The sequence below is a fragment of the Homo sapiens genome, chromosome 10 (genome assembly GCF_000001405.40).
Source record: "Homo sapiens chromosome 10, GRCh38.p14 Primary Assembly".
NCBI lineage: Eukaryota > Metazoa > Chordata > Mammalia > Primates > Hominidae > Homo > Homo sapiens.
Genome location: NC_000010.11, coordinates 89,869,206 through 89,884,752, shown reverse-complemented (window position 1 = coordinate 89,884,752; position 15,547 = coordinate 89,869,206). Strand labels below are relative to the sequence as shown.

The following is a 15,547-nucleotide window of genomic DNA, read 5'->3' as shown; positions in this document are numbered from 1 at the left end:
TAGTTTCACTATATCTTTTCATTACAGTAACCAGTTGCTAGATTGAAGTGTTTCCCACATAAGATGTTTCTTATGTAGAATGACTTGATAGGAGCTATAAAGAAAGGTTATGTAACATAATGGGCAGTGCACATACTTCAGAGACAAAATAGAGTTCATTCTTTGCAATTGATCACTGTGCATCCTTGGGCTAGTCACTTAATTTTACTGAGCTTCAGTTTCCTCCAAGGTTGAATCGAGATCATACCTACCTTTAAAGATTGTTGTGAAAATCATTTTATAAATAAGTATCCTGTCAAACTACAAGCCGGTGAAACCCTAATTTTATGATGCTAAAAATTAGTTGGTTCTGAATCACTTAATGCCTATATGAAATACCTGCAGTATAGATTATATGCTTGTAGCAATTCAAGTCCTAATAGAAAAAACCAAAGAGGCATCTTGATACCTTAGAAACATCTGGATAGACACAGATGAGAATTGTAAAGCACCAGAATGTCCTGAGACCTCTGAGGTGACAGAATCAAATCCCTTCCCCTTGTAAGAGAAGAAAAGCTTCCTCCTCCTTGGAGGGAGATCTTATAAAAATGTCATCAGATATTTGTCCTTCCCAATATTCACCCTCTTTTCCCCTCAACATAAACCCCTAATGCTACTACATACTGGCAGGATTTAGAGGAAAATGTGGGAGATAGAGCTGAGGGATGTTGGACAAGGAAGATAGAATATAAGTTTGGATAGAAGCAAGTGTATTAACATAGGAGTACTTTTCTATGATTCAAGGCTTAATATCATACAAAGCCTTTGTAACTGGTCATAATACGCTGCTGGGATAGGCTTGACATGGCAATGTCCTAGAATAAAATATATGGGGATGCTGAAACTGTGTTACTGTATTTTGAGGAAATGGTCAAAAGGCTTATGGAAGTGGAAGTGTTACAATATATTTATGAGAGCCTAAGAACCCCCCCACATGATTCTGTTCTCCAGAAGGATCCAGAGGACATTAAAGAATGCATTATTTATTTTCAGATATGGGAACAGCAGCATAAAACTATAATCCCTACAAGTGAATTGCGCCCTACAACTGATCCAGCTTATTGCTAGAAGCAGTTTCCAGGTTACAGCACAGGGAAGAGTACCCAAATAGAGCCCAGGAGTCTCCTTGAATTGAACAAATAGAAACTAAACTTTAGGGAAATTAAGACAACTAAAATGTGTAGGACAAAATACTGAAGAGGTAAGAGCTTCACAGAGGGAGACCTCTGGACTTCCACAGAGTGATCCCTTTGAGTCTTTGGCTGAGTACTGATCAGTACCTTTTTGTGGTGACACCTCACAAGGCTAGAGAAAGAAACACCGGACAGAAGTAGGATGAATAATTCCTGGAAACTACAGCAAGAGTGGAGAGATATCACCACCCCATCAGCCAGACTGAAGAGACCTTGTAATACATTGAGCACTGGGAAGCCTTGTGAGAAGAGTATTACCTTAGCAGTGACTCTAAGTTAGCCCTGACTGAAGCTTGTCTGGACCCACCCTAACAGAGCTTACAAACAAACCACTAAAGAGTTAAACTGATCCTAAGTAAATTGACTGAACGAAGCCTGATACTCTTTAAAGAAATACAATAAAATTTAATACCTAACAATATGAAATTTACAGTGTTCAGTGACCAACACACAAGGCATGTAAAGAAGCAGGAAACATGACCCATAACAATAAGAAAAATCAACCAATAGAAAACACTCAGAAATGGCAGAATTTAGTAATAGGATAGTAAAACAGCTATTATAAACATGTTCCATATAATCAGAAATATAAAGGAAAACATGAATATGGTCAAAGAGATACAAAGAATTGTATTCAAGTTACAAGATAAAGTCATCTTTTCTCTTCCAAGCCTCATGGTAACCTCAAATCTAAAAACAGACAATGGATACACAAAAAAATAAAAAGCAAGACATTAAAACATACCACCAGAAAAAAATGACCTTCACTAAAAGGAAGATAGGAAGGAAGGAAAAATGAAGAGAAGACAACAAAACAACCAGAAAACAACAAAATGCAGGAGTAAGTCCTTACTCATCAACAGTAACATTGAATGTAAATGGTCTAAACTCTCAAAACAAAAGACACAGACTGGCTGAATGAATCAAAAAGAAAAAAAAGACCCAATGAACCCAGTGACTTTTTGCCTACAAAAAACAGACTTCACCTGTAAAGACACACATGGACTGAAATTAAGGGGGATGGGAAAAGATAGTCCATGCAAATGGAAAACAAACAAACAAAAAAAAAAAACAAGAGTAATTATACTTATATTATATTAGACTACATAGCTTTCAATAGAAAAACTATAAAAACAGACAAAGAAGGTCATATAGTGAAAAAGCAGTCAATTCAGCAAGAGGACATAACAATTTTAAATATATATGCACCCAACAAAGGAGCACCCAGACATATAAAGGAAATATTATTAGAGCTAAAGAGAGAGAGAGACCTCAGTACAAAAATAACTGTAGACTTCAACACCCCACCTTTGGCGTTGGACAGATCATCCAGAGAGAAAATCGACAAAGAAATATTGGACTCATTATGTACTATAGACCAAATGGACCTAATAGATATTTACAGAACATTTCATCCAATGGCTGCAGAATACACATTCTCCTCAGGACATGGATCATTATCAAGGAGAGACCCTATTTTAGGCCACAAAACAAGTCTTAAAACATTCAAAAATTGAAATCATATCAAGAATCCTCTTTCACCACAGTACAATAAAACTAGAAACCAATAATAAGAGGAATTTTGGAAACTATACAAACACATGGAAATTAAACAATATGCTCCTGAATGACCAGTAATCTAGTGAAGAGATTAAGAAGGAAATTTTAAAATTTCTTGAAACAAGTGATAATGGAAAAACAACATACCAAAACCTATGGAATACAGTGAAGGCAGTAATGAGCTATAAGTGCCTACATCAAAAAGGAAGAAAAATTTTACATAAACAACCTAATGATGCATCTGAAAGAACCAGAAGAGCAAGCCAAATGCAAAGTTAGTGGATGAAAAGAAATAATAAAGATCTGAGTAGAAATAAATAAAGAAAACCATACAAAATATCAACAAAACAAGAAGTTGCTTTTTTGAAAAGAAAAATTGACAGACCTTTGGCTAGCATAGCTAAGAAAAAAGAGAGGACATTGAAATAAATAAAATCAGAGATGAAAAAGGAGACATTACAACCAATACCACAGAAATTCAAAGGATCACCAGAGGCTACTATAAGCAATTATATGACAATAAATTGGAAAACCTTGAAAAAAAATGAATCAATTCCTACACACATGAAACCTACCAAGATTGAACCATAAAGGAATCCAAAACCTGAATAGACCAATAACAAGTAATGAGATCAAAGCTGTAATAAGTAGTCTCCCAGTAAAGAAAAAGAACTAATACCAATTCTACTCAAACTATTCCAAAAAATAGAGGAAGAGTGAATACTTCTAAACTCATTGTATGACACCAGTATTACCTTAATACCAAAACCAGAGTCATATCCGAAAAAGAAAAGTAAAGGCCAATATCCCTATGCAAAAATCCTCAACAAAATGCCAGCAAACCAAATTCAACAACACATTTAAAAGATAACCTATTAGGACCAAGTGGAATTTATCCCAGGGATGCAAGGATGGTTCAACATACACAAAGCCATAAACGTGATACATCACATCACAGAATGAAGGACAAAAACCATATGATCATTCCAACTGACGCTGGAAAAGTATTTAATAAAATTTGTCATCCCGCAAGATAAAAACTCTCAAAACACTGAGTATAGAAGGAACACACCTAAACATAATAAAAGTCACATACAACAGATCCACATCTAGTATTATACAGAATGAGGATAAACTGAAAGCCTTTCCTCTAAGATATGGTATACAAGGTTGCCCACTTTCACCACTGATATTCTACATATTACTGGAAGTCTTAGCTAGAGCAATCAAACAAGAGAAAGAAATAAAGGGCATCAAAATCAGAAAGGAAGAAGTCAAATTAACATTGTTTTTATGATATGATCTTATCTTTGGAAAAACCTAAAAACTCCACACAAAAAAAAACTATTAGAACTGTAATAGTTCTAATAGTCAGTAAAGTCAGTAAAGTTGCAGGATATAAAATCAATATACAAAAACCAGTAGCATTTACATATGCCACAGCAAACAATATGAAAAAGAAATCAAGAAAGTAATCCCATTTATAACAGTTACAAATAAAATTCAATATCCAGTTATTAACCAAAGAAGTGAAAGATCTCCACAATGAAAACTATAAAACACTAATGAAAGAATTTGAAAAGGACACCAAAAAAATGGAAAAATATTACCTGTTCATGGATTGGAAGAATCAATATTGTTAAAACTTTCATACTACCCAAAGCAATCTACAGATTCAATATAATCCCTATCAAAATACTAATGACATTCTTCATAGAAGTAGAAAAAACAATCCTACAATTCATATGGACCACAAAAGACCCAGAATAGCCAAAGCTATCCTAAGCAAAAAGAACAAAACTTGAATCATATTACCTGACTTTAAATTATAGTACTGAACTACAGTAACCAAAATGGCATGGCACTGGCAAAAGAAAAAAAAAAACAGGCATATAGACCAATATAACAGAATACAGAACCCAGAAACATATCTTTACCTCTACAGTGAACTCATTTTTGACAAAGGTGCCAGAACATACACTGGGGAAGGACAATCTCTTCAACAAACTATGCTGAGAAAACTAGATACCCATATGTGGAAGACTGAAACTAGACCCCTATTTCTCACCATATATTAATTTTAAAAAATCAAACAGATAAAAGGCTTAAGTCTAAGACCTCAAACTATGAAACTACTACAAGAAAACGTTGAGGAAAATCTGCAGAACATTGGTTTGAGCAAAAATTTCTTGAGCGATACCACACGAATACAGTCAACCAAAGCAAAAGTGGACAAATGGGATCAACTAGAGTTAAAAAGCTTCTGCACAGCAAAGGAAACAATCAATGCAGTGAAAAGACAAACCACCAAGTGGGAGAAAATATTTCCAAACCCTCCACCTGACAAGGGATTAAGAAACAGAATATATAAGAAGCTCAAACAACTCTATAGAAAAAAAAATCTAATAATCCAATTAAAAAATGGGCAAAAGATCTTAATAGACATTTCTCAGAAGATGACATACAAATGCCAAACAGGCACATAAAAAGATGTTCAACATCACTGATCATCAGAGTACTGCAAATCAAAACTACAATGAGATATTATCTCACTCCAGTTAAAATGGCTTTTATCCAAAAGACAGGCAATAATAAATGCTTGCAAGAATGTGGAGAAGAGGAAACCCTTGTACACAGGAGTTGGTGGGAATGCAAACTAGTACAACCACAAGAACAGTTTGGTTCTTGTGGTTTTTATCTCAGAAAACTAAAATAGAGATACCATTTGATCCAGTAACATTACTACTAGGTATTTTTTTTTCAAGTTTCAACATGAATTTTATTTTTTTTATTATTATTATACTTTAAATTTTAGGGTACATGTGCACAATGTGCAGGTTAGTTACATATGTATACATGTGCCATGCTGGTGTGCTGCACCCATTAACTTGTCATTTAGCATTAGGTATTTACCCAGAAGAAGGGAAATCAGTATATGGAAGAGATATCTGCATACCCACATTTATTGCAGCACTATTCACAATAAAAAAGTTTGGAAGCAACCTAAATGTTCATCAAAATATAAGCAGATAAAGTAAATGTGGTACATATCCATGATGGAGTACTATTCAGCCATGAAAAAAATGAGATCCTGTCATTTGCAACAACATGGATGAAACTGGAGATCATTATGTTGAGTGAAATAAGCCAGGCATGGAAAGAAACTTCACATGTTCTCACTTACTTGTGGTAGCTAAAGTTTAAAACAATTGAACTCATAGAGATAGAGAGTAGAAGGGTGATTACCAGAGGCTGAGAAGAGTAGTCAGGGAGGGGAGTGGTTAAGTGGGGATAGTTAATGGGTATGCAAAAATAGAAGGACTGAGTAAGACCTAGTGTTTAATAGCACAGCAGGGTGACTATAGTCAATAATAACTTAATCTTGTATTTTAGAATAACTGAAAGTGTATAATTGGATTGTTCATAATGCAAGAGATGAATGCTTGGGATGATAGATGATCCATTTACCTTGATGTGATTGTTTCACATTACATGCCTGTATCAGTATGTTCCATGTACCCCATAGGTATATATACTACTATGTACCCACCAAAATTAAAAATCAAAAACAGAGAAATTAAAACCCAGTCAAAGCAGCTCTGGTCAGAAGGGCTTCCTCCTTAGCATAGGAAGCATAGCAGGCAGGCAGCACACTCCCTAGGATCTAGCAGCTAAGAGCGTGAGATTTGGAGTTCAATTTGAGTTTGTCACCACCATTTATGAGTCTGTGACTTTGTGAAAATTGATTTTCCCTAAGCCTTAGTTTTCTCACCTATTGAAAGGGGATAGTAGGTGTTTTAAAAGCAGCTTAATTCGTGGAGCTCTCATGAAGATTACATGAGCTGGTGACTGGGAGCAGTTACTGTTGCTCTTGCCACAGCTGGACCCTGGGATCACCATGACACCAGTGAATACTGAGTGCACACAATAACAAATACATGGAATGACTGACTGGACTGCTGAGTTTTTTATGTTTTTAATGAAGTCTGACATATGAAAAGGAAAGTGCGTAAGTTCTGAGATTAATTATCAGAGTGAATACACCTATACACACCTATAGCCACCATCTTAGTCAAGAAACAGGACATGGCCAGCACCCGGAAAGTCCCTTTAACCCCTCCCAATTATACTTCCTCCCTCTCTCTAGAAGTTAATGTCCTAAATTCCAACAACATAGATTAGTTTTCCTACTTTTCAACTTTGTGTAAATGGAATCATAGTGTCTATTCTTTCTGTGCCTGGATTCTTTCATTCAACACTATAGTTGAGAGATTTGAGAGATTCTCCATGATGTCCTATGAGGTGGTAGTTTGTTCACTTTGAATAATGTACTGTTACATAAATTTTTCTTTCTACCATGGGTGGATATTTGGGTTGTTTCCACGTTGGAGCTGTCATGAAAAGTATATTGTAATGAACTTTCTTGTATATTTTTTGAAGTGGGGCCTCAATCAGAAGGATTTGGGCCTCCTTTGTACATTTCTTGATGTCCTTATGTACATACACATTAATGTTGAGTGTTCTACCTAGAGGATTGCTGTCCAGCCTTAATGAATAACATTAAAAAGTTTTCCAAAATAATTGAACCAATTTGTATTTACTTGAAACTACTGCCACAATTTTTATTTGTTTAATAATGCACAGAAACTAGTCCCTTAATTCAATAAATACAAAGCTCTCCTAGAATAGGATTTCCCAAAGTGTGGAATACAAGTCCTGCCAGAGACTCTGAAAATTAAAATAGGTTTTTTGGTTCAAATAATTTTGAAAATCATTGCATATTATATCATCTTCTCAGAGAATGTACCTTAACACATTAAAATCTCTGAGAAGCCCTTTATTTAAAAATAATAGGCTAAGTTTGTTTGAATGATAAGTAGTTGCTTTGGCCCACAGAGCCCTTTTGAGGCTGTAACACCTGTAGATAACACAAAGATGCAGCCAGTGAATGGATTCAGACAGCAGGAAAGGGACAGCCATCTTTTGGTGCTGTAAAGCTACAGTGCTTAATAACTGAGATGCCAATTCCCTCTTTGAGGATGGTGGTCTATTATTATTGGCACAATAATAATCTGAAAGGTGGTAATCTCTTTTATCTTTAAAAGTTTTTTGAGGTTTTCTAATATTTGACATGCCTTTTCAGCTGTTGTGGATTAACCCCTAAATCAACAAATAATTACTGGTGGTCTGCTGTGCACCCAGAATTGCACTAGGTTTGTGGAATAGATAAGATATTGCTTGCTTATTGAAAATTACTTATAGTCTAGTTAGTGAATGCATGTGTAGTTAATACAATCACAAGTTTATCTTTTCTCAATTTTTTTTGGTAGGGATGGGGTCTCACTATTTTGCCCAGACTGGCCTCAAGATCTCCTGGCCTCAAGAGATCCTCCCACCTTGGCCCCCCAGAGCTCTGGGATTACAGGAATGAGCCATGTGCCAGGCCAAAAGTTTATATTTTATGAAACAGAAGTTACCCCCAGTACCTGATTAAACTTTTTGTTATTTCTGATCTGATTGGCTAAAAATCAGGTATCTGATTTTAATTTGCATTCCCCTGATTACTAGTGAGACTAAGCCTCTTTTAATGTTTATTGGCCATTCTGATTTCCTCTTCTGTGAATTCACATCACCCACTTTTCTTTGAATTTCTGTTTTATACAGACTTTATACAATCATAAAAAACAATATTAGCAAATTATTACAAGTATATACTATCTCACAAATATAGTAAAGAGATTCTGGATACCAGTTTTTTGTTTTGTTGTAAATATCTTCTCTGAGTCTGTGGCTCATCTTTTAACTATGTTTATGGTGTATTATCCTGTATAGTAGTTATATAGTTAAAGGTGATACAATATATTTCTCCTCTCTTTTGTGAGATTTTTTGTTACTTGTTTATGAAGCCTTTCCCTATAAAGAAGTCATATATAAATATATTCTGCTATTAAAAAAGAAAACGGAGCAATGAAAACAATTTAAAATAAAGCATAGATAGAAAAAAATGAAATAAATAGATCATCAGTTACTGGGACATTATAAAGCAGTGTAACATATATATTAGGAGTACCATAATGGGAAGCATGAAGGGAAAAAAAAATATTATATAATACAATTTCTGAAAACCAGTGACAAAGAGAAAATCTTAAAAGCAGCCAGAGCACAAAGACAGAAGATGTACCGAAACACAAAGACGGACAACAGACCTCATGTGAAAAACTATGGAAGCAAGAAGACTGTAGAGTAACACCTTTAAAGTATTGAAAAGAATGCACTGGTGAGAAGGGCTCACTTCCAGTGAGGTCAGTGACAACTATCCTTTATAAAGTTCACTGTAGGAAACGGTGTCATAGAATCATGTTTCTTAGTGTCAATAGGAATGACAGGACTATAAAATGGTAGGGTCCCAGTGGCAGTACCTAAATGTAAGAGGAAAAGTGAACATTATTACCACTATGAAGAGCAAGGTCAGAGTGGCAGCCAGTACCTTGACCTTCAAGGTCTGTGTTAATGGCCAGTAGGTCATGGTGTTCCCAGGGGCAAGATAGATAGACAGCTTTTTATGGTGTTGTCTGTCAACTGAAAAAAAAAAAATCAGAAACTGGCCAGCAGAAAGTTGGTATCAGCTGTCACTAAAAAATCAAGTTACCACACCCATTTTCCTATTGATAGATCCAGAGCATATTGATTGAAAAAGAAGCTGAACCTCCTTGAAGAACCCTGGAATGCCAACACAAGTAGACACACTAAAAATCCCTCCAATCCTTTCTCAGTGGGTCTGTGACCAGAGTAAATGAATGGTGGTGGGGGCAGGAAGGGAAATGAGACCTTTTCAGGATTTGGGATGCAAGATCTGGGTCACACAAGGGGACCTGAAATACACTGACCTGCTTATTAGAGTAGGCACATATGGAAGCCAGGTGATATATGACTTTCTGACCCAATCCTCCTCACAGAGAGTCTAGACCCATCCTGTGGCTATTTCTCCAATACCTCAGGGTATAGTTGGAACTAGATATACCCAGTGCCTAACAGAAAGTTCACATTGGTTTTTCGTTTTGTAAAATAAGGGCCACCATGCTAGGAAGAGCCAAACAGAAGCTCATGTAATTGCTCTCCCCAGACAAAATACCAAATCAAAATCAATACTATATTGTAGGAGTACCTTCAGAGATTGAAGCCATCATCAAAATTTAAAGGATGCAAAGGTGGTAGTCACATGATAGCTCCACTTAACTTCACTGTAAAGCACATTTAAAAAATGAATCATGTTAAATGACAGTGGAACATTGTGGTACCTGCAATTACAGCTGCCATGAGGAATGAATTATCCTAATTGGCACAAAACAACAAGGATTCTGGAACTTATTATGAAGTTCTTGATGTGGCATATGAGCTTCTGTCAATCCCTGTTGATATGGAATTCAAAATTGCTTTGCTTTTTGGTGGAAAGTACAGCACTGTACATTCACTGTCTTGTCCCCAAGCAAGTCAACCCTACACTGTCATAATAGTGTTGATGGCTATTGTGAAACCTTGGTTCTTGTCTTCTGATATGGTTAGGCTTTCTGTCCCCACCCAAATCTCATCTTGAATTTTAATCCGTATAATCCCCATAATCCCCAAGTGTCAAGAGAGAGACCAGTTTGAGGTAATTGAATCATGGGGGCAGTTTCCCCCACGATGTTCTCATGATAGTGAGTGAGTTCTCATGAGATCTGATGGTTTTACAAGGGGCTCTTCCCCCTTTGCTCAGGACTTCTCTCTCCTGCCTCCTTGTGAAGAAGGTGCCTTGCTTCCCCTTTGCCTTTCACCATGATCGTAAGTTTCCTGAGGCCTCCCCAGCCATGCAAAAATGTGAGTCAATTAAACCTCTTTCCTTTATAAATCACACAGTCTCAGGCAGTTCTTTATAGCAGTATGAAAATGGACTGCCGGGCATGGTGGCTCACACCTATAATCCCAGCACCTTGAAAGGCCAAGGCAGGTGGATCACCTAAGGTCAAGAGTTCAAGACCAGCCTGACCAATATGGTGAAATCCCATCTCTAATTAGCCAGGTGTGGTGGCATGCACCTGTAGTCCCAGCTACTCTGGAGGCTGAGATGAGAATTGCTTGAACCTGGGAGGCAGAGATTGCAGTTAGCTGAGATCATGCCACTGCACTCCAGCCTGGGTGACAGAATGAGACTCTGTCTCAAAAAAAAAGAAAAAGAAAAAGAAAATGGACTAATACATCTTATCAGTTTAAAAGAATTTAAACAAGAGACACACAGCAAAGGAGATGAAGCATAGAGCAATTTATTGCAAAGGAGAAAGAATATTTTGAAAGTTAATGGCAGAATTGACAGTACACCCTGAGAAAGGATTCAGGGGAGGCTGCTCATAAGGATGAGACAGCAAAGACTGGCACTAGGAAGGCTCCTTTATGGGAGCCTTACATAATTATTCATAAGGAGGTGGGAAAAGGTGTTGCTAGTAAGCATGTTATGGGTGGTCCTCTGGGTGTACATGCATAGTAGCTGTACATGCATGTTCATATATTGCATGTCTCATTAACATCTTAAATCTCCACCCAGGGGTGTGTTTTTCATGATTATAATGAGCAAAGTGTCCGTTTGAGGACAGGTAAAATCAAAATGTGTGTGTTTTCTACAGGGGAAACTCCCTACTGGAGATAGCTTTGCTTGAATGAGCTTGACTACAATGCAAATGCTGAGGTCAACTGTGTTCACTGTAAGGTCACCATGGTTGTCCCAAGGACATGGTTACTTCCTTGACTACCTATCCTACCTCAATAGAGTCAAAAAGGACATTGATTATCTTTATTTTATTTTTTTTTTTTTTTGAGACAGAGTCTCTCTCTGTCGCAGGCTGGAGTGCAGTGGCATGATCTCGGCTCACTGCAACCTCCGCCTCCAGGGTTCAAGTGATTCTCCTGCCTCAGCCTCCTAAGTAGCTGGGAATACAGGCACCCACCACCAAGCCTGGCTAACTTTTTGTATTTTTAGTAGAGACACGATTTCACCATGTTAGCCAGGATGGTCTCGATCTCCTAACCTCGTGATCTCTCCACCTTGGCCTCCCAAAGTGCTGGGATTACAGGCATAAGCCACCACGCCCAGCCGATTATCTTTACTTTCTACAGAACATCATGCTAGTCCACTATGTATATTGATAAAATAATGTTAATTGGCCTTGATGACAGCTAACTAGTGGCCAAAAGAACTGGAACACCCAGGTCAGAACTGTTGTCAAATGCCATCTTTTTCCAGTAGGCAAAAAGCTATGACTTTAGCCAATTTATTTAACCTTGTTGTGTTTCATTTTTTATCTCTAAAATGGAGGTAACAGGACATACGTTAAAGAATTATTAAGAGAATGAAATGAGACAATATATATAAATATACTTAGTTTTTAATGTCTGGCACATAGCAGATACTAAAAAAATCCAACTAGTTAAATAAATGGAAGCTACTTATATTGAGTTTTGTAAAAGACTTACAGAGAAAATCTATTTATTTCAGGGCATGTGTGTGTGTGTGTGTTCCTTGTAAAGTTTCTGTGTGTTTTAACTCATATTTTTCGTGGGTTTTACTACACTAAAACCAGAATCTTGTTTAAGAAAAACACTCAAAAGAATGACAAATGTGGCTCCCAATTGTAACCTTCAGGCATTTGTTGAGTGTTAATCTCCAGTCATTTTTATTTAAATTGAAACTTCTTTAAGCTAATGTAACTCCAGTCAAGTTACATCCATAGAAGACAAACTAATGTTTTTAAACAGCCTTTGAATGTCAAAGAAATTTCTCTGCATAAGGCACCAGCTACCTAAAATTAACAGACGCTCCTCTAACATGTTAAAGTAGAATAATTTTAAACCCAAATAATTCCTTCACACATATTAAAAGCTTTCAGAATATTATAAATCATTAACCTTGTACTTCAAAAATAAACTCTCATGTTTAAAAACAAAAGATATTATTCTGTTCTTCAGAGCCAATATTCCAACAGCATGCTATTTCTGCAAAGACATACTTCTAATCACCAATTTCAAAGACTAGTGAAAGCAGATTGTTTACCCCTAAATCCCAGTGGAGGTGGTCAGCAAGTCACAACAAGAAATATAGATAATTTACATAGAGAAACAGGAAAAAAAGTCAACCTTTCCATGAATTTGAAATGCTTGAAGGTAACCTACACTGGGGTGCTGTCAGGGGTGGGAAATAGTGTAATTAAATTCAAATCAGTTATTTCCCTTGCAACTGCTAAGCAGGTAGAGAAAAAAATTATCGCCCACCTCAAAAATGGTTTCAGGGTTGTAAAGTTAAAAAAAATTAAATATGCTTAAATGGAATAAAACAGTACCATTAATACTCTAAATTAGGATGCGAAATGCTCCTAGAGTTTTGACATTTGTAAATTATCACTTGTGGCACAAGTATCTAAACAGTGGTACTCAAATATTTTTTTATGTCTAAACCTAAGGACACACTTCCAAATGTAAGAGTGGATCTCAAAGGTATTAAAACCTATAAGAATATTTAGAATGACAAAGTTCCTCAAGTGATTCTGATATGCCCTTCTCCTAGGTGGCCTATTCTCACATACTAATTGCCCTTGAGAATCACTGATCAAAATCCTGCAAAACAAACTGTATATACCAAAACATATTATAGCAAGAATTATAGATTTTTTTAAATCTTGGAATCATATCTTTAAATATACAAAGTACTAAATGGGAAACGTCACACAGACTTGGCCCCTGGGTGGGAAGCCCTAGTTGTTAAACATTCTCCTGCTTAATGAGCTGGAAAATCTGCCTAGTTCCATCTTCCTAGTATAGCACCTAAGTGTACTCATTATTCTACACAAAAGAGCTTCAAATTCTTAAACATAATGCAATTTTAGGAGAAAAAAGCGTGGCTTTGGAGTCAGATTCATTTAAGATTCACATTTCAGTTATTAGCTCTGTGACTTTGGGAACATGAATTAACTTCAATAAACTCAATTATATAATCTGTGAAATTGTAATAATACCAAATGACAAATAATCATTTATCTTCATCATTTAAATAATGATGGTAAATAAATGCAAGATTGTGAAGAATTAAATGAGATAATATAACAAAAATGTACAGCATAAATACCTTTGGCCATTCTTCATCTGCTATAATTTCCAATTATACAATCTCCTTCCTCCTGTTCCAATGCTCTGATTGAACCACTCATCTTATGGTGCATCTGAATTAGAAGGGGAATCACCTAGCATGTTCAACAGGTATACAAAGGAGGGTCTATGGCTGGTAGAGAGTTTTGGACTGGGACCCTTTCATTCCAGACATGGGAGTCAGCAAAATTTTTCTGTAAAGCAAAATACTAAATATTTTAGGCATTGAAGGCAACATACAGTCTATGTTGCATATATTTTTGTTTTTGCTTTTGTTTGAGAATGGCCCTGTGTCAAAAACAAAATGCACCAGACAATTAAGGCAATGATTTCATTCAAGCTATTGGAATAAGGTCAATGTTACTGCATGAAGAACATCTCAAAAAAAAAAAAAGAGAGAGAGAGAGAAAGGGACCTGTGGTAAACAAGGTAAACAAAGGAATCATCCTCGAGTTTTACGGTAGTTTTGAGGAAGGGTGGAAACAGGTGTTATCTTGGAATATCTCAGAGTAGGCTGGTCATCTGCAATTCGCCTCAGAAGACAAAAGCGTGGAGAGATTGTTTAATATTTGCTTTTGCCCAGAAGAGGGTTTCAAGTGAAGTTCATTCCACATTGTCACCTTTAAAGACTTAAAATCACTCTTAGATTGTGGGCCAGAGAAAAACTGGCTGCTAGCCAGATTTGGCTCTCAGGAGTATACTTTACTGCACCTTTTTCCAAAGAATTGTTAAATTAACAGCAGCCCATCCTATCCTGCACACACTCACCCTCAATCTGCCTTACCCAAGCACTACATATAAATAATCATTTGACATTTGATGAGTTTTTACCATGTCCCATCACTATACCAGGTGCTTTATGTGCACTATCTCATTTAATCTTCACAAATCATTCTGAGGTAGGTACTATTTCAATCCCATTTTATGGAGAACAAGTCTGGAGTGTAAAAAAGTAACAAAATGTGCTCAGGGCCATCTGGTAGACAAGGACAGGGCCAGGCTCCAACCCACATGCCTTTAACTCAAAAGCCACGTCCCTTAAACATGAAGTAGTTTGTTCTCTTCTAAGTCCTTTTAATCATTTGATCAGTCAATTGTCGCAACTCCTGACTTTCCTTTGCTATATAGACTCAGCCCAAATATGGCTAGGTTGGGTTTCTTTTTTCTTCAATTTAACAGATGCAAAACCTTAAAATGACTTCAATTTGAAAACATAGTCCTTTATGTCTTTAAACAAGTAAGAATTTGGTACATAATGCATTCACTCAGTTACTAAATTCAGAGAACAGCATGTGACGAAAGTCCCAAAACGCTCTGTAATTCTTGCCAAAACATCTTGGGTTCAGAGCTGGATTTACAGAAAATGTAAGATATTTATGAGCATTAATTGTAGGAAAACATTGCCCTCAGCAGGTTATAAAATGTTATCAGTGTTCCTGATTCTGGTCATATGTTTCTCAGAAGGATTGAATCCATCAGAGCTGAGCTGCTATGCTTGGCACAATACCAAGTCATAACAGATTTAGTTCAGAAGGGAACTGGATGCAATTATCTCTAAGCTTTTTTCTGATACCTACCAAGAAAGC

The 15,547-nt window shown here is 36.4% G+C and overlaps 1 long non-coding RNA gene across 1 annotated transcript in view, besides 1 other annotated feature; it reads right to left on the bottom strand.

Annotated features, from left to right (window-relative positions):
- Window positions 1-15,547, bottom strand: part of LINC01374 (long intergenic non-protein coding RNA 1374) — a 61,051-nt gene that overhangs the window by 30,204 nt on the left and 15,300 nt on the right. The window lies entirely within an intron of this gene.
- Window positions 11,452-11,521: a silencer, noted in NCBI's record as "silent region_2598". NCBI's record gives its function as "represses an Ori minimal core promoter by ATAC-STARR-seq in GM12878 lymphoblastoid cells {active_cell/tissue: GM12878}" and the evidence as "EXISTENCE:reporter gene assay evidence [ECO:0000049][PMID:35858748]".